This window comes from Homo sapiens, chromosome 10, assembly GCF_000001405.40.
Source record: "Homo sapiens chromosome 10, GRCh38.p14 Primary Assembly".
NCBI lineage: Eukaryota > Metazoa > Chordata > Mammalia > Primates > Hominidae > Homo > Homo sapiens.
In genome coordinates, this window is record NC_000010.11 from 100,311,143 (window position 1) to 100,330,748 (window position 19,606).

Genomic DNA, 19,606 nt, shown 5'->3' on the forward strand with positions numbered 1-19,606 from the left:
TGCTTTTTTCTTGCTCAGCAATGAGAACTATGAAACCTATTTGAGTTTTCTTCTTCGCTTTGGCCACTAGGAACCTCAGGCTTTGTTATCATTTGCAGTACTCTTGTTTAATCTAGAGTGTTCTGGTACACGTTTTTTTCCTCTTCTAACCTTTTCCCACTTGTTTTGCTAGGTCGTTCTTAATTGTAGTTCTAACAGGCTATATTTTACTGTATCTGCACTTTTTAACATGAGCTCTGATCCCTTTTAGACATAGGTGGGGCATAAATGTATTGTTATTGAAGAAGTATGACTAATAATTATTATTAATCATTAACGTCATGAGCTTGGGTAATAACCAAATTTTATCCACTCCTATGTTTACAGTAGAGACTGAATATTCTTGTGCTTTCTTTTGAACTGCTGGAAGACCTGCCCAGCTCAGAGCAGTAAGAAGTCACCAGTGCTGACTTCAGTCGGAAACTTTGTACATCTCCTTTCCCAGGTGATTGCCATATAGGCCATCGTATGCTACTGAGCTTCTTCCCTGCCCCTAATATGTGATATGTGATGGAACACAGTTGTCCTTTCCAACAACACTCTCCCTGGGAAGGAATGGGATCCCTTCCCTCAACTTGTTGACAAAGAATATCAGAGGTCTGGGGTGCGTCTGCCAGTAAGTGTACATAGTTCCTTTACATGTCTATACTAGTCGAACACATAAAGGAACTATTATATATACACTTTTTTTGACACTCAAAAGTCAACTGTTCCTTCCTAACCTGGATAGCTCTGAAGAGAAGCATTAAGGATGCTTCTCTAGAAATCTGGGGATGTCTTCCACCCCCATTCCCTCCCCTGACAGTCACTCCTCTTGGGCAATTCCTCCTTCCATTATCTTTGCTGCTATCCCACCACATATTCTGGTGAATGTTATTGGGTCATTCCAAGTTGGATTCCAAATAGTTCATGTGTCTTAAGACAGAGAGTAGGCAGAGGAAAGTAGGAACCTGGAAATGAGGGAAGGGTTAGATCCTCAGGGTATACACTGAAGGTTGTTGAAACCGTGCATTTCATATCAGTGTGTCTACAGAGACTACAACTGAGAGAACTAGATTCACTCACATCTGCTTCAGTAACGAAGTCTATGAGCATTATTAAGCTTTTTAGGGCTTAGGTTCAGAAGATTCTGGTTCTAGAGAACCTATGACACATGGCCAGTTTCTTCTTGGGAAATTAGATTCAGAGCCAAAAGCTTTTATGAGTTGCTGTTGAAGGAAAAACAAACAGACTGATGATGATTATTCTGGAAAAATGGAAATGAATCCAAGATCCTGTTAGTGATCCCCCTGAAGTTTCTAGTAGCTCTGAGATCTTAGCCCAGCTGGAAGAATAGACCTATAGATACTTGTCCATGCTGAATCAATATAATAGAGTCTCTCAGCGGATGGAATACTGAAATCAGATACCTAGAAGACTGGAGATAGGAGTAGAGGACAGGGCATAAGGCAATCAAACAAGGAGGCTGCTGGAACTTCCCTGTTCTATTCCATTCTGAATGCAGAATCCAGGGAGAGCAAAGCAATTGATTCTTATGGATTCAGTATGGCTTTAGCTGATGGCTTGTAAATTCTCATGTGGTTTCAGAATTGCATAAAGAGTTTACGAAGACAGCAATCAAACCAGGAAGTCAACAGTCCTGAGGAAGATGAAGAGTCTTCTTCTCTAGAGTCATCCTGGAAAAATACGGCCCCCTAGATAGCATTGCTTCTGTGTGGCCCAGAAACCTCGAGACATAGCATGAACTTCAGTTAATGTCATAAGAGATAAGGTAACATTTCTGCAGCTATGGTCTCTGCGAAGGAGGGCACACTGTTTCAAAAGAGCTGAAGACACCAACTGTAGTAAAACGTAAAAGTCCTGTCTTTGTACAGGGATTTTTCTGGCTGATGAGGCAGCGGTGATTCCACACGCTCCTGTAGAAGGTTACAGAGGAAGAGTTGCACTTGCTCTTACTGTCCTTCTTTGAGCTATTTTGCTCAAGATCTCCCAGAGACTGGTCATTTTGGAAAAACTAAAGCTACAAAGAGTATACTAGTGCTGAGACCCGGAGACTTTTTGCTGCCTAAATCTAGCTGAACCAAAAAAATGTATTTAGTGCTAGAAACCAAGGAAGCCTGAGAAGAGTAGCCCTTGTTAAAAGGTGCCCAAGCTGGAGTCTTTGAACATATGGACCCAGAAAAGACAGGAAACCAGGCAGGAAAAACCTAGTGATTACATACACAAGGGGTCACCCCAATTGGATTGCCAGTTTCATGCACTGTCTTAACAAATGATAAGGGAGCGGTAACTAAGTTAATAGAGTTGGTAATTAGTGATTTTACTATACAGAAGTCCTGGCTTTTACCTGTAATTGTGCAGTATAAGCTACCTGGATCAATAAGATTCTGTGAGGATTACAGGATAATCAACACCATGACCGAACCATATGTTCATCCAATGCCAATAATCGATTCTCTCTGGAGTTACTGGGTCTACCCTCAACATTTTGAGGAGTGCAAACAGTTTTCATTTATTTGAGTTATATCTATCTACCCTCAATAGACCCTTTAACTCCAGAGAGAATTGATTACTGGCATTGGTTCAATAACCAATCAATAATTCATCATTGTTTCATGAAGTGTTGCAAAATAAAGGCCATCCAAGAAGACTTTACGCAGACAGATTTGGTCACCCCAGAGAGATACATCACCTTCTTTACCAAGGGCTTTCTCTCTCAGTACACAACAGGAGGCTCTCAAATGGTTCCATATAAAGGGAAATCATATTTAAGTAATTAATAGTTGCTTGATTTATAAACAATTTATTTGTAGGTAATTTTTTCATTTTAGTAATAGAGATGGGGCTTTGCTAGGTTGCCCAGGCTGGTCTTAAACTCCTGGACACAAGCAATCCTCCCACAGACTGCTGGGATTACAGGCGTGAACCACCATGACTTGCCTGCAAATAATTTAAACAGAAACTATGTTATCACCACTTGGAAGGGTATGAAATTCCTGAAACACCTTTATCAAACTTTTCCTGGGGTTCAAGAACCAAAAGTGGAAAATATGATTCCCTGGAGTTCCCAGCAGGGAGAGCCCTTTAAAAAAAAATCTCAAGAAGCCATAGGCTTGTACCCAGAACAGGAAGACATGGAAAAGCCTGTGAGACAAAGGACCAGGGAGAAAAGAAGAGGAGTCAAAAGCTGTGGGCAGAGGTAGGCGAGAAGAAAGCAAAACAGACCAGTGCCTGGGGAGAGAGAAGAGAGAGAAGGAAGCAGGCACGGGGACAGCCAGTCCAGGACCGAGAAGTATCCAGCAAGAAGCACTGTTTCTGATCCTGGGCTTCTCTGCAGTGTGATTTATCTTTCACAAAGTGCATCCAGAGATCCTCCTTCACTGACTTTATTGCCATTAGCCATCAGCACTTTAGGGGAGCCTCCTATACTACATTTATCACAATCAGCGGACGTTCCACCTCACAGACGGCATTGCTGTTGACTTTACACATCCTTCTAGTGTAAACCAACAGAAGCTTCTTTATCTAAAATTCATGTATATTTATATATGTCTAGAAAACAATTGAAATGGGCCGGGTGCGCTGGCTAGCCTGTAATCCCAGCACTTTGGGAGGCTGAGGTGGGTGGGGATCACCCAAGGTCAGGAGTTCAAGACCAGCCTGGCCAACATGGTGAAACCCCATCTCTACTAAAAATACAAAAATTAGCCAGGCGTGTTGGTGTGAGCCTGTAGTCTCAGCTACTCCAGAGGCTAAGGCAGAAAAGAAAGAAAGAAAGAAAGAAGGAAGGAAGGAAGGAAGGAAGGAAGGAAGGAAGGAAGGAAGGAAGGAAGGGAAGGGAAGGGAAGGGAAGGGAAGGGAAGGGAAGGGAAGGGAAGGGAAGGGAAGGGAAGGGAAGGGAAGGGAAGGGAAGGGAAGGGAAGGGAAGGGAAGGGAAGAGAAAACAGTTGAAATGATTATATACCAAACTAGGAACAGTGATTACTGAGAGGGATTTTTTATTTTGTTTTATTTTATTTTACTTTAAGTTCTGGGGTACATGTGCAGAACGTGCAGGTTTGTTACATAGGTATACATGTGCCACGGTGGTTTGCTGCACCTATCAACCCGTCATCTAGGTTTTAAGCCCAGGTTTGTCACATAGGTATACATGTGCCATGGTGGTTTGCTGCACCTATCGACTCATCATCTAGGTTTTAAGACCTGCACGCATTAGATATTTGTCCTAATCCTCTCCCTCCCCTTGCCCCCTACCCCGTGACAGGCCTGGGTGTGTGTTGTTCCCCTCCCTGTGTCCATGTATTCTCGTTGTTCAACTTCCACTTATGAGTGAGAGCATGCGATGTTTGGTTTTCTGTTCCTGTGTTAGTTTGCTGAGAATGAAGAGGGATTTTCACATTCTCTATGTTATTTGACTTTTAAAAAACAAGGACTATGTATTAGGTAAAAATTTAATAAATATATTACCAGTCTGATTTTCTTTGTAGGGGAAAGGGGGTAGAATTATGTTGTAATAGAATGAGAAGAAATGCTGGTTTACGCCTTTTTCCTCTTACTTGCCCCTTGAGACTCTGACTATGGCAAAACTCTTGCATATTCATAGCCTGAGGCCTTAGTTGGCTGGCGCTACCTCCTCCATCCCCTGCCTCCTCCAGGCTGACAGCCAGCACTATTAAAACTAACAGGCAAGCAAGCAAATGGCAATGACTTTAGGCCTCCCTGGCAATGACTTAAAAACAGTTAAAAACAGTTTTAACACTGTTAAAATAAGCAGGCAAGCAAATGGCGATGACTTTGGGCTTCCCCAGACACGAATGGTACCTGTCTCTGGGACCTTCAAGATTTCCCAGCTCTCCCTGACCACTTTGTCTCCCACTTCTTACCATGGTCCCAGTGCACCCTCCACTGTAGCGCTCATCACATTCTATGTCACTGTTTGTTTACATGTCAGCCTTCCTTACTCCTTGAAGGCAGAAGATGTGTCTCGGGTATTTCTTTTGTTTTTTTTGAGACGGAGTCTTGCTTTTGTTGCCCAGGCTGGTGTGCAATGGCACGATCTCAGCTCATTGCAAACTCTGCCTCCCAGGTTCAAGCAATTCTCCTGCCTCAGCCTCCGGAGTAGCTAGGATTACCGGCATGCGCCACCACGCCTGGCTAATTTTGTATTTTTAGTAGAGATGGGGTTTCTCCATGTTGGTCAAGCTGGTCTCGAACTCCTGACCTCAGGTGATCTGCCTGCCTCGGCCTCCCAAAATTCTGAGCCACAGGTGTGAGCCATCTTGCCCAGCCTTGTCTCAGGTATTTCAAAACCCTCAGCACTTGGCCTAGGGCCTGGCACATAGTAAGACTTCATAAATGTTTGAATGAATGAATGTGTGACTATCCAGGATCTCAAACTTAGTTTCAGCATTTTGCTAATAAGCTCTCTTTGTCTCATCTGTTCTTTTCCTCCATGCTATGAAATAATCTAATTTGACCAGCTTAGACTCAGTCTCTGAGCCAGTGGTTTACACACATTTTGTTCTCAGAACCCCTTTGCAACTTCAATATTTTGAGGACTACAAACAGTTTTCATTTATTTGGGTTATATCTATCAATCATTACCTTATTAAAAGTTAAAACTGGCCAGACACAGTGATTCATGCCTGTAATCTCAGCACTTTGGGAAGTCAAGGCAGGTGCATAGCTTGAGCTCAGGAGTTCGAGTCCAGCCTGGGTAACATGGTAAAACCCCATCTCTACCAAAAATACAAAAAATTAGCTGGGTGTGGTGGCACCTGCCTGTAGTCCCAGCTACCTGGGAGGCTGAGGTGGGAGGATCCCTTGAGCCTGGGAGGCAGTGGCTGCAGTGAGCCAAGATCGCCCCACTGCACTGCAGCCTGGGTGACAGAGCTGAGATTCCATCTCAAAAAAATAAAAATAAAATAAAATAAATTAAAACTCAGGAAAAATGTAAATATGTATTAACTCATTCATTTGAAAATAATGATAACAATCCCTATACATGTAAACACAAATAACACTTTTTATTTTTTAAAAAATACTATATTTTTTCAAACAAACCCCCCAAAAATTTGGCCGAGCACAGTGGCTCATGCCTATAATCCCAGCACTTTGGGAGGCCAAGGCAGGAGGATCACTTACATTCAGGAGTTCAAGACCAGCCTGGGCAACATAACGAGACCCTGTCTTTACAAAAAAACAAAAATTAAGCGAGTGTGGTGCTACATGCCTGTAGTCCCAGCTACTTGGGAGGCTGAGGTGGGAGGATTGCTTGAGCCCAAGAGGTCAAGGGTACAGTGAGCCCTGATCACAGCACTGTACTCAGCCTCAGTGACAGGGTGAGACCCTATCTCAAAACAAACAAACAAAGAAAAATTTTAATGGAATTGTTTTCCATGTTTGCAAGTCTCCTAATGTCTGGCTTAATAGAAGACAGCTGTATTCTCGTATCTGCTTCTGCATAATCTGTTGCAATATGTTATTTTGGTTGAAGTATATGAAGAAAATATGACCTTAAGCAAATATGTTTCGGGGTAAGAGAGAACCTCACAACCTGAAAAGGTCTCAGGAAGCCCTAGGGGTCCTCAGAGGACACCTTTGAAAAAGATTGCTGTGGCCGGGCATGGTGCCTCACACCTGTAATCCCAGCACTTTGGGAGGCTGAGGTGGGCAGATCACCTGAGATCAGTTCGAGACCGGCCTGGCCAACATGGCGAAATCCCATCTCTACTAAAAAAAACCAAAAATTAGCTGGGTGTGGTGGTGCGTACCTGTAATCCCAGCTACTCCGGAGGCTGAGGCAGGAGACTAACTTGAACCTGGGAGGCGGAGGTCGCAGTGAGCCAAGATTGCACCACTGCACTCCAGCCTGGGCGATAGAGCAAGACTCTGTCTCAAACAAAAAAAAAAAAGAGAGAAGAAAAGATTGCCCTCATTCCTTATTTTTGTGAGTAGAACCTCTGCCCAGTCTGGAGGTTCTGTCTGAACTTAAAATCTCAGCAATCCTGCTGCCACCACCCAATAACATAATTGTCAATATCCTTATAATCCCCTACCTGTGTACCTTATTTCATAGTTTTCAAAGAGTTTTCCTATGTAATGTCTCCCAGTTGCCTATCAGACATATCTGCTGATTCCATCTTACCCATGAACAAAACTTCCTATGAATCATGAAGTTCAGAGTGTACATGATTTGCTCAGGGCAAGAGGCAGAGCTTGTGCTCAAACTCACGCCTTGTAATACGAGTTATATGCTCTTTTGCTAGCCACTTACATCAGCAGTACTCCAGCCTGGCCTCATCTACAACAATCCAGAGTATTGAGATGTTTTTCTTTTCTTTTTTTTTTTTTTTTAGGCAGAATCTTGCTCTGTCACCCAGGTTGGAGTGCAGTGGCGTGATCTCGGCTCACTGCATGCTCCACCTCCTAGGTTCATACCATTCTCCTGCCTCAGCCTCCCGAGTAGCTGGGACTACAGGCATCTGCCACCACACCCAGCTAATTTTTTTGTATTTTTAGTAGAGATGGGGTTTCACCGTGTTAGCCAGGATGGTCTCGATCTACTAACCTCGTGATCCACCCACCTTGGCCTCCCAAAGTGCTGGGATTACAGGCGTGAGCCACCGCACCCAGCCTGTTTTTCTTTTCTTTTTTTCTCTCTCTCTATCTTTTTTTTTTTTTTAGATGGAATCTCACTCTGTCGCCCAGGCTGAGTACAGTGGCGTGATCTCGGCTCACTGCAACCTCCACCTCTGGGGTTCAAGTGATTCTCCTGCCTCAGCTTCCCGAGTAGCTGGGATTACAGGCACACACCGCTGTGCCCATCTGATTCTTGTATTTTTAGTAGAGATGGGGTTTCACCATGTTGCCCAGGCTGGTCTTGAATTCCCCACCTCAGGTGATCCACCTGCCTCAGCCTCCCAAAGTTTTGGGATTACAGGCGTGAGCCACTAAGGCTGGCTGAGATGTTTTTCAATATTTTCCTAATTTATATCTTGACAGGGAATGGCAACTAATATTTATTGAAAGCCTATTATACTCCAAGCACTGTACTACTAAATACCTAATTTGTTTTCCACCAACCTCACAAAAGCAGATGTTATTCTCACTTGAGGAATCAAGGTTTAGAATGATTTAAGTATCTTGACCTATTTGCCAAAGATGCGTGGCTAATAACTGGTAGCACCATCATTTGGATCAGACCACCTTATTCCAGGTCACACGCTCTTTCCATTATACAACTGTGCCTTCACTAAAATCGTGGTTCTATATGACAAAGTATCTTCTGACATCATTACAGCCACACAGGAACTCAGCCACAGACGCTTTCTGAACCTCCAATATATTTCTGCTCCTTTCTTTGTTGATTCTAGAAATACTGTCAAGCTTTCTTGACAAGCTCACTTCAACCTCTCCTATTAGTGCAATTCCACCAATCTATGGATAGAACCTTGAAATCCACTAAAAGAAAGCAGAGTAAAGAGAGGCATGCATTTCTTTACAACTAGTGATGGATTAAGAGCATCCAATTGATATTAATTGGCATGTAGCCATTAGGCATTAAAGGTTGAGGGTCTCTGCCCTCCTCCCCAGCTCCATGGTGACCAGACCCAGCCATTTCCTGGCTTAGAGCCTCTCCTATACAGGGCTAGTCCCAGGTGCACCTTTGAGATAACAATAATGTCTCCTAAAACAAACAGCCATTATTTCTACACAAAGACCTTCAATGTTTCCTCCATCAACAAAAGGCTACAGCAATCCCTCCAAGAAGACAAAGGGCTGGAAGCCCTTTCATAAATATCATGATGATGGTGTGGGCCCAGTGGGAAGGGAGAGCCAGGAAGATAATTCTCCAGCACTTTCTCTGCTGAGGAATAGCTGGGACAGGACTGACTCCATCCCTCAGAAAGAGCTCTGAGTGATTAATCATTCCTAAACTATTCATAATGACAGTAATAACATTTCCCTAACCTGTGGAAAGAAAGAAAAATATTGAGCCATTACAGGATTGTCGTCAGGATCAAATGAGATGATACATGTGAAATCTCTGTGTAAGGTTTAAAGGATTGCACAATTTACATTATTATTATCAGACAATTGATGGGTCACCCATATTGCCTGCATGAAAAAGATAACTCTATTTTAGCCAGATGAGATTCCAAATAGTCTTGGATTATAGGTCCACCAGTTCCTAGAATAAAGCATAAGGGAGAAGAAACATGGTCAGTATGGTTGACCATGATAGTCTACTAGGGCTTGTCCCCTGCCAAATTGCTGTGCAGGTGATGGCTAACTTTGTTGGCTATTCTTTCCACTCCCAAGAGCCCAGATCTTGGAAATGAGGTCGCTGGTGGTTGATTCCTCACCTAGGGTCTAATGGTCCAAGTTCCCCACTTTCCCTTTCCTCCTTTGTCCCCCTGAAAACATCTCTCATGCAATTTACACAAAAATAGATACACATTATAAATTAAAGCATGAGAAAAGTGTCCAACCTCATTGGTAATAAAAGGCAAGTAAATTAATGTGAGTTGTACCATCTTATACCTATTTAATAATAAAAATTATGAATGAGAACATCCAATTTTGATGAGGTTGTGACAAAATTGATGTGATCTTATAGCACTAGTGGCATAATAAGTTTGTATAATCCCTTACAGAGGCAAAATGACAACACATAGCAAATACTAAGGAGATATTTCTATCTTTTGCCCTCGTGGTAATCTCTCTCCTTATCAATTCCCAAGGAAATAATTTAAAGAAGTGGGAAAAAAAAGCTGCAGCTATAGATACATTTACCATGATAGGCAAATACTGAAACAACCAGAGAAATGTTTTAGTTAATTGCAGTGTGACTGTAGTCCTTAAAATAAAAATATAAAAACTGGCTGGGCATGGTGGCTCACGCCTGTAATTCCAGCACTTTGGGAAACTGAGGCAGAGGGATGACTTGAGCTCAGGAGTTGAAGATCAGCCTAGAAAATATAGCAACACCCGACACAGGCACAGTGGCTCACGCCTGTAATCCCAGCACTTTGGGAGGTCGAGGTGGGTGGATCACAATGTCAGGAGTTTGAGACCAGCCTGGCCAATATGGTGAAACCTCATCTCTACTAAAAATACAAAAAAATTAACCAGGCGTGGTGGCACATGCCTGTAATCCCAGCTACTTGGGAGGCTGAGGCAGGAGAATTGCTTGAATCCAGGAGGCAGAAGTTGTAGTGAGCCGAGATCGCGCCACTGCACACCAGCCTGGGTGACAGAGCGAGACTCTGTCTCAAAAAAAAAAGAAAAGAAAAGAAAAGAAAATATAGCAACACCCCATCTCTACAAAAAATTTAACATTAGCAGGGTGTGGTGGTGTGTCCCTGTAGTCCCAGCTACTTGAGAGGTTGAAGTGGGAGGATTGCTTGAGCCTAGGAGGTTGAGCTGTAGTGAGCTGAAATCGTGCCACTGCACTCCAGCCTGGGCAACAGAGTGAGAAAAGAAAGAAAGAAAGAAAGAAAGAAAGAAAGAAAGAAAGAAAGAAAGAAAGAAAGAAAGAAAGAAAGAAAGAAAGAAAGAAAGAAAGAAAGAAGGGAGGGAGGGAGGGAGGGAGGGAGGGAGGGAGGGAGGGAGGGAGGGAGGGAGGAAGGAAGGAAAGAAAGAAAGAAGGAAAGCAAGCAAGCAAGAAGGCAGGCAGGCAGGCAGGCAGGCAGGGAGGGAGGGAGGGAGGGAAGGAAGCAAGGAAGGAAGGAAGGAAGGAAGGAAGGAAGGAAGGAAATATGAAAACTACTGAGAGGCCAGGCACAGTGGCTCACGCCTGTAATCCTAGCACTTTGGAAGGCTTGAGCCCAGGAGTTCGAGACCAGACTGGGCAACACGGGGAAGCCCCGTCTCTATGAAAAATACAAAAATTAACCAGGTGTGGTGGTGCATGCCTGTAGACCCAGTTACTTTTAGGGCTGAGGTGGGAGGCTCACCTGAGAGTTTGAGGCTGGAGTGAGCTGAGGTTACACCACCGCATAACAGCCTGAGCAACAGAGCAAGGCCCGGTCTCAAAACAACAACAACAACAACAAAAACAAAAACTACGGTGGCTCACGCCTGTAATCCCAACATTTTGGGAGGCCGAGGTGGGCCGATCACTTGAGGTCAGGAGTTCCAGACCAGCCTGGGCAACACGGTGAAACCCCGTCTCTACTAAAAATACAAAAATTAGCCGGGCATGGTCGTGGGCGCCTGTAATCCCAGGTACACGGGAGGCTGAGGCAGGACACTGCACTCCAGCCTGGGTGAAAGAACCAGACTCTGTCTCAAAAAAAAAAAACTACTTAGAAATATGATGAAATGTTATAAATGATGAAAGTATACAATATAATACAACTAGGTAAGAATGTATGCATAAACACCGGTAATAAGAAAAATGAAAAATTCTTTAATGTAGTGGTAGCCAACTATATTTTAAAATATTCTTTAATGTTTTTATATCATCTTTTAAATACACCAATAAAAAGAAAGAATAGTAGTTAGCTAGTAGAATTTCTCAATACTCTGCTTCTATTAGGGTAGGGCACGGAGTGGTCCTTGCTAAGATGTTGATGGGTATTAGTAAATTTATGAGCAATACATTTCCAGATAGAGAGGCCATAGTAGACTCCAGTGGTTAAAAGCCTCGGGATTCAAATCAGGCAACCAATTGCTGAGTTGGATTCCTCTTTCTTCACTTGCTTGCATGAGTGGCCTTGAGCAAGCTGTTTGACTTTTCTAAATCTTTCTGATTTGTAAAATGGGAGTGATAGGCAGAACCAATTTCATAGAGTCATTGGAAGTAGTCAGTGAGATAAAGTACATAATATAGTGCTAGGTGCATTGAAAAATTATTCAATAAAGGTTTGTTGTTTGTGCTGTTAATAATGATGATGGTGGTGGTGGCGGTTGTGATAAACTGAGGGCTTCCAGGGAAAGTACTTTCACTTAAAGGTCTGATGTCACTTAAAGGATGCTACTCAAATAATACTATCCCTATATGTGGAGCCAACTAAAATTTTGAAAGGTAATTTTATGTTATTTATTGATTTACTTTTAATTGACAAATAATCACGGCTTTTATTTTATTTTATTTTTGAGATGGAGTCTCGCTCTGTCGCCCAGGCTGGAGTACAGTGGCACGATCTCGGCTCACTGCAACCTCCACCTCCCAGGTTCAAGCGATTCTCTTGCCTCAGCTTCCTGAGTAGCTGGGACTACAGGAGCGTGCCACCACACGCGACTAATTTTTGTATTTTTAGTAGAGTAGGGGTTTTGCCATGTTGGCCAGGCTGGTCTCGAACTCCTGATCTCAGGTGGTCCACCCGCCTCGGTCTGCCGAAGTTCTGGGATTACAGGCATGAGCCACGGCGCCCGGCTCACTCTGTATCTTTATGGGGTGCAATGTAATGTTTCTTCAGATGTATACATCATGGAATGATCAAATCAGGCTAATTAACATATCCATCATCTCAAATGTTTCTTTGTGTTGAGAATATTTAAAATCATCTCTTTTAGCTATTTTGAAAGATATAATACATTATTATTAACTGCAATCATGAAAGTTATTTTTTCCAAGTTTCCACAAGCAGCACTGAAAAGTTGTTTTTAATACACTTTTTAAGATAAACTTTATTTATTTATTTATTTATTTTTTGAGACAGAGTCTTTCTCTGTCACCCAGTCTGGAGGGCAGTGGCATGATCTCAGCTCACTGCAACCTCCGCCTCCCAGGTTCAAGTGATTCTCCTGTCTCAGCCTCCTGAGTAGCTGGGATTACAGGTGCCCGCCATCACGCCTGGCTAATTTTTGTATTTTTAATAGAGATGGGGTTTCACCATGTTGGCCAGGCTGGTCTCGAACTCCTGGCCTCAGGCAGTCTGTCCAGTTCAGTCTCCCAAAGTGCTGGGATTACAGGCATGAGCCACCGTGCCCAGCCCACTTTATTTTTTTAGAGTAATTTTAGGTTCACAGCAAAATTGAATGAAAGGTGCAGAGATTTCCCATAGATCCCCTGTCCTCACATAAGTACAGCCTCCCCTGCTATCAACATCCAACACCAGGGTGGTACCTTTGTTATACAATGGACCTACATTGACACATGACTATTACCTGAAGTCCACAGTGTACCTTAGGTTTTACTCTTGGTATTGTACATTGTGTGGGTTTTACGTAAAATGACAGGTATTCACCATACAGAGTAGTTTCACTGCCCTAAAAATCCTCTGTGCTTTACCTATTCGTCCTTCTCTTTCCCCAACCCCTGGAAGCCACTGACAACTTTTAGTATCTCCATAGTTCTGTCTTTTCCACCATGGCATATAGTTGGAATTACACAGTATGTAACCTTTTCAGATTGGCTTCTCTCTTGAAAGGTATTTTTTTAATGAACAGTCTAGAGGACCAGGTGAGGGTTTTGATTTTCGACTAGATAATACAAAGATAACTACTACCAGTGATTGTGTTTGGTTCTTTATGCATGTTATCTCCAGAAGATAAATGTTATTATCCTTATTGGTAGAACAATTGTTCAAGGTCACAAAGCCAGGAAGTAGAGGAGCTAGTATTTGAATCCAGTGTGTCTGACTCCAATGTTTTTATGTTTTCATCATGCCACTGTGTTTACCTAATAATAAACACAGGTCCTGGAGCATTTGAACCCGGTCATGGGAACTGACATGGAAAAGCACACTGGCACAGCTGCATGTCCAACTGCACGTCACTCCAGTTCTTAGAAAACAGCATCCTGATAGAGCAACACAACAGCCACCCCGCTTGGTGCCAGCTTTCAGGCTTATAACGTGTATTCCCAATCCTTAGGCAGGAGAGCTCAGTCAGCATACTGACTAGCCAAATTAAGTGGATCTGGTTCAGTGTTTCTTAACCTTTTTTGCATTATCCGTCTCCCCAAAAGTCTCTTTAGACATTTTCTTCCTAATCACTCCCAATTCCGATACTGCAGACAGACTCTACATTTGCTTATGTACCGTGACTCTTCAGTGGCCCAAAAGCCATTGTAATACCTAAAGCATTCTTTTTGCCCTTGGAGAAACTATTTTTACACTCTTGGGGGCTACATCGTCCCCACTGAGAACCTATGGTCTAGATGCAGTTGGCCAGAGCTCAGGGAGCCTAATGGAGAGCTGAGACATCAGCGGGGTGAGGCCAGGACCTTGGAGAGCACCGAAGTGGCCCTCCTGAGGCCATTCCAAGGCTCCATGTCGCCTGAAAATATGTCTGAAAGGAAGAGGCAGGTAGAGGCAGGGGCTAGGAAACTAGTATTAGTATTATCTTACTAGATGTCGTAGGAATCATCAGAATGTGAAGGCCTCCTAATTCTCTTTCATAAAAAGTTCTTGTGGGGCCGGCACTTTGTGGGTGCGGACTTTAATTCTCAAGGCCCAAGGCAGTTAAATGGCACATTTTCAGGTAGTCTAAGGATTTCAGGGTCTTTATTAAGAGTGCAATTCCACAGGACTTGGAGGTTTTCCGAGGTTTAAAGGTATCAGATTAATTCTTCCTTCCTCACCCTCCACTGCTGGCTGGGTTATGATGCCACATTTATAGTTTTACAGTGCCTGCTGTGACTTGAAGACAATAGGCACTATTTACCATGTGCCAGACAGACACTGTGCTAAGCATATTAGTGAGCTATTTTATTTAACCTGCTTAAGAATCTTCTCAGGTGGGTATGATCATTGTCCAAGGATAAGAGAGGTTAGCAAACTTGCTCAGGATCACACAGCTGATAATTGGGGAAGCGCCAGACCTTGAACCCACATAGTCGACTTCAGAGCCTCACTGCTTAACCAGCATGCTATACTGCCACCAGATTGACTCAGTGGCCCTGGTAAGGTTTTTGTTTTTAAAAATCCCATTAATATCCTTAGCACAGGACTATCATCTCCCCTACTCAACTTTCCCAGAGATACCTCTGTGACCCAAGGTTTATACTTCTGCCCTCTCCTCAGGAGAACTTAAAATTTGTCATGTCACTCCTATGCTTAAAACTTTTCAATAGCTCTCCCTGTCCCCCTCAGAATAAAGTCCAAATTCTTTCTCATGCCTTATAAGGCCCCTCATGATCGGCCCCTTCTTATAAGGCCAGACTTGTCGTCTTTTACCACTTTGCTTCTCAAACTCTCTGCTCCAGCCACGTTGATGCACTTTAACCAAACTGTGCCCTCTGTCCCTTTTGGGCCTTGGCACATGCTCTCCCCTCTTCCCAGAGACTTTCTTTCTATTCACCTCCCTTTCAAGGGGATAAATCCTCCATATCTCTCAGGTTTTAGCTCCGATATCACTTCCTCTGCATTTCCTCACAGATCCCCCAAATCTGGGTACAACAGAAATAATGGCATCACAGTACTCTGTGCTGGTCAGATTGTCCGTGGCATATTTTGTCCAGTGCCAGGCATCACATAGATGAAGTCTGCAGGCAGGCAACCAGTATGGAGAGCATTCTGAAATTGCTTTTAATATATGCCAGGCACTGAGTTGATGATTTCATGGCTATTATCTCACATAATCCTATTGGATTGGGTAAGTACGATGAGGAAACTGAAATTCAAAGAAGTTAAGCAAATTGCTTGAGGGCCCTCAGATGGTGAATGGCAGTGCACAGTGTTTGACCCAAACCTGTGCAAATTTGGAGCCCATGCCTTCAATCCCTACATAATACCATCTCTGAAAACCATAGTATTATGAATGACTAGTTTAAGAAAAGTACCATGATAAAATAGAAGTTATTTAACCTAGAGAACAGATGACCAAGGGCAAGCTATATTCATTCAAACAGTTGAAAGGTTGTCACTTCAGAGAGTAACAGGAACACCTCAGTAGTTGGCTTAATAGAAGAAAGTTCTGAAAAGGAAGTGAGCCTCTGAGGGGAAAGGCCCAAGTGTCTGTTATCTATGTGTTTCTCAGTCCAACGTCTGGCTCAGAGGAGGTGGCTCCATAAGAGGAAGGAAACAGAGCTGCCCAATAGTAGAATGGGTTGCCTCATGAAACAGTGACAGCCCCGCTGACACTCCCCAGGTTGGGCTGGTTGGCCACCTGACAGAGCACCATGGGAAGGATCACAGAGAAAGGATTCCACGTATTCTGCATCCTAAAATTAGATGAGCTCTAAACCCCTGTCTGCTCAAGGACTCTGTAATTACTGAACGAAGCCTGTGACTCAGATTTTGGCAAGTCACAGACCATCTGGCAATGCATCAGTGCACTGAGATCTTAGAAAGCAGAGAACATGAGTGGATTGGACTCCTGGACTTCCAGAACCCAAGCTTCCACCCTTTCCAGCTCCATACAATGGAGTTAGAAATGGTTCACTGTAACTCTGGGGAGCTAGAAACAGTCCTGTTCCAGAGGCTAATCTGGAAAGAGAGACGTTTAAGTCATTTATAGAGAAAGGCTCTGCCTGTGGGTTTCAGCTGCTGTCACGGGATCTGAAAAAGGAGATGACTTCTCCTTGCTAGCAGATGGTTAGGACAAAAATAATCGATACGTCAACAAATGAATTTCTGACAGCCATTTGCTGAAAGGAATTGAAAGGGCCCCACAATATGTACATTGGGCCGGCCGTTGTTCCTCACATGCACTGTGTCCTTTCACTCCCTGCAGAGTGGCCAGTGACAAACACAGAGGACTGTCCCCTCTGTCCAGCATGGAATGAGTTCCGATAGAGCACAGCCAGAACAAAGTGCTTTCTGCCAGCTTTCCTAGAGGGCTTGCACAAATGTGGGTGGCTCAAAAAATAAGACAACATTTCATCAACATTAATGTTATGAGACTCTTTGACTCCACTTTCAAAAGATTTATGCACCCTGACAAGAACAGAGTATTGCGGAGCCTAGAACACCTACTAATGAGGGCATCTTAGTTGTACGATTCAACCTACAGCTTTAATCAAAACACAACCCCACACACAACTATATTAAACTAGGCAAACATCACTTGTGCAACTTTTGAAAGAAGTAATAAACCAAATACAAAGTTGCTGTCATTACCTACAAGTCTAATAGCATCTGTTTGGTCCAATTTTATTATTATTTACGGTTCTTTGACTCTATCTTCCCACAGTCGCCCTCCTATCTTTTCACTTGCTTCTCTCAACTTAGAGATCAAAATTTCTCAGTTTGTGTCTATAGCTAGAGCCTCAATAAGCTTCCTCCAATGGCATGTGACATGGTGGTCTCTCACATGGGACCATCACCATACCATGTGTTTCCCTCCCTCTCTTAACAGGGATCTGAGATCTAAGGTCGCCTGGATCTTTTACTTCCTCTCTTTTTTCTTCCATCTTTTTCTCTGCCTCTAAAGAAACATGCATCGGATATAGTATAATAACTACGTGAAGCCCACCAAACTATCTTTCCAAACAGAAGGGAGTGGTTTTCCACTCTTTTTTTTTTTTGGAGACAGAGAGACAGAGTCTTGCTCTGTCCCCCAGGCTGGAGTGTAGTGGCACGATCTTGGCTCACTGCAACCTCTGCTCCTGGGTTTAAGCGATTCTCCTGCCTCAGCCTCCTGAGTAGCTGGGATTACAGGCACCTGCCACCCAGCTAATTTTTGTATTTTTAGTAGAGACAGGGTTTCGCCATGTTGGCCAAGCTGGTCTCAAAACTCCTGACCTCAGGTGATGTGCCCACTTCGGCCTCCCAAAGTGCTGGGATTACAGGCGTGAGCCACCGTGCCAGCCCACTCTCTACAGAAGGGTAAAATATTTTCACCTTTCACCTTTTCAGCCAATAGAAAACAATGGCTGCCAAAAACTGGTTTCCCCTTGTAATTCTTGACCAAACTGCCTTCCTCTACTGACAAATTCCTTTTAAACAAAATATCTTAAGCTGCAAAGGTAAATAGATGGGATTGGAATATTGTTATCTAAAGTTCCCGGATATAGCCTGCTTACACAGATAGATGCTCGCTCCACAGATGTTGCCCACAGGAATGTTTATACATATAGTGCACACATAGATGTTTCTCACAGACAGATGTACACAAACACAGATGCTACTCACGTAGACAGATGTCCACCAGGAACACAATATATACCAACAGCTCCCTCAGGGTGGTCTTGATATAAAGTTCCCGGTTCTCAGCTGTGTTCTCAGTCAGGGTTGTTCCCCAAAGTCCTAAGGGGCATGGGAGAGATGCCTGGGATGCTCAGTGGCAGTGTTCCTCCCAGTCATCCCCACCCATCTGTCTCTGGACTTTAGCCCCTTTCCACCCCTGCCCTTCCTTGCCCATCACCTTCATCCTTGGCTGAATCTGGCTACTGTACCCACACCCATGCTTGCTCTTCCCATCAGCTCCCTGAGGTCGACAGGGGTGAAGGCCCTGGCTTGTAGAGAATGAAGGCATGGAAAGGAGGCACCTGTTCCAGGTGGGGTAGTCTAGGGCATCATCACATCCATGTCCTCCCTCAAACCAGCTCCCACATACCTCTCTGGATCCCCAGGTGATGACCATGCCAGGCTCCCACAACCGGTAGACCGCTCAGCTGGCCTCTGTGTTCTGGGTCATGCAGCACTACCATGGGCAATTCATACACCCCAAAGTGACACCGAAAGGTCACCTCTTCTTCAGATCACATTCCACCCCCACCCCCTGCCCAAAAGCTTTTGGTGACTCCTCCTGATTCTAATATCCCAGGAGAACTGTCCCCCTATCTGGTACCTCTGATGCCTTGACAGATATGGAGGCAGCAGCTGGACACCTGGGTCCTGTATGCCGTCTCCTGGGGTTCATCTTCAGGCTTCTTGGGTTGGGGCTGGAGAGGCCCCGTGCTGGAGATGGTGCAGACTCTCAGCGTCCCGTGTGGGGAAGGGGGACCACTGTAGGCGGGGTTGTCCCAGGCTCCACTCCCCAGCTTTTGCAGCTCCTGCCCCTCAGGACTTCCCACAGCATTCATGGGGAATGAGGTGGGGGGGCCCGGTACCCCAGGTGCCCACTCTCAGCTAGAGGAAGAGGGAGCAGAGGCACAGCCCAGCCTAGCCAGCAGAGAGCAAATGGAAAGGCGTCTGAGAGCAGCTGTTTCCACACAGCCTGGGCTCCTGCCTTTTGTAGGGGGATGTCTGTGCCTGCTGGGGAGGGAGCGGATGAGAGGACAGGGTGGGGAAGGACCATCAATCCTGTCAGGAGCTCTCTCTCCCTCTTGCTGCAAGCCCCAGGGGACCAGCCGAAAGGGGAGGTGAGGGAACTGGAAGGTGGGGGTTTGAAGAGGGGAGAGGGGAGAATAGGAGGAGGATGTGGAGCTGGGAGTGGAAGGAGAAACGGGAGGAAAAGGCGATGCTGGGGATGAAGGGGGCTGCTCGCAGATGTGCCTGGTGGAGAGATGGCCCAGAGGTCGGACAGAAGAGACGATCAAAGAGCAATGGGAGGAGCTGAGACAGGAGGGGAGCCGGGGGCCTGTGCTGCGGGTCTGAGCTCATTTCCACTAAAAGCTCCTAAAAGGGCCGACATGGATTGGGGTGGGGACCAAGGCTGGGAGGAAAGCTGAAGAGCGCTGTCCCCCTCCCAGGCTCTGCCCACCTCCCAGGTTCAGTCAATGGGTCTG

The 19,606-nt window shown here is 44.5% G+C and overlaps 1 protein-coding gene across 2 annotated transcripts in view, besides 1 other annotated feature; it reads right to left on the reverse strand.

Annotated features, from left to right (window-relative positions):
• The window catches only part of PKD2L1 (polycystin 2 like 1, transient receptor potential cation channel), a 42,080-nt gene extending 22,994 nt beyond the window's left edge, over window positions 1–19,086 (reverse strand). The window contains exons 1-2 of one of the 2 annotated variants that reach the window (NM_016112.3): window positions 18,727–19,086; window positions 18,069–18,182 (exon numbers count right to left, since the gene is read on the reverse strand). In NM_016112.3, the coding sequence (NP_057196.2) occupies window positions 18,069–18,182; window positions 18,727–18,961 (349 nt within the window). In that variant the 5' untranslated portion in view covers window positions 18,962–19,086. Of the gene's footprint in view, window positions 1–18,068; window positions 18,205–18,726 lie in introns of both variants that reach the window. The other variant, NM_001253837.2, reaches the window with a different exon arrangement.
• Window positions 16,105–16,224: an enhancer, noted in NCBI's record as "active region_3887". NCBI's record gives its function as "activates an Ori minimal core promoter by ATAC-STARR-seq in GM12878 lymphoblastoid cells {active_cell/tissue: GM12878}" and the evidence as "EXISTENCE:reporter gene assay evidence [ECO:0000049][PMID:35858748]".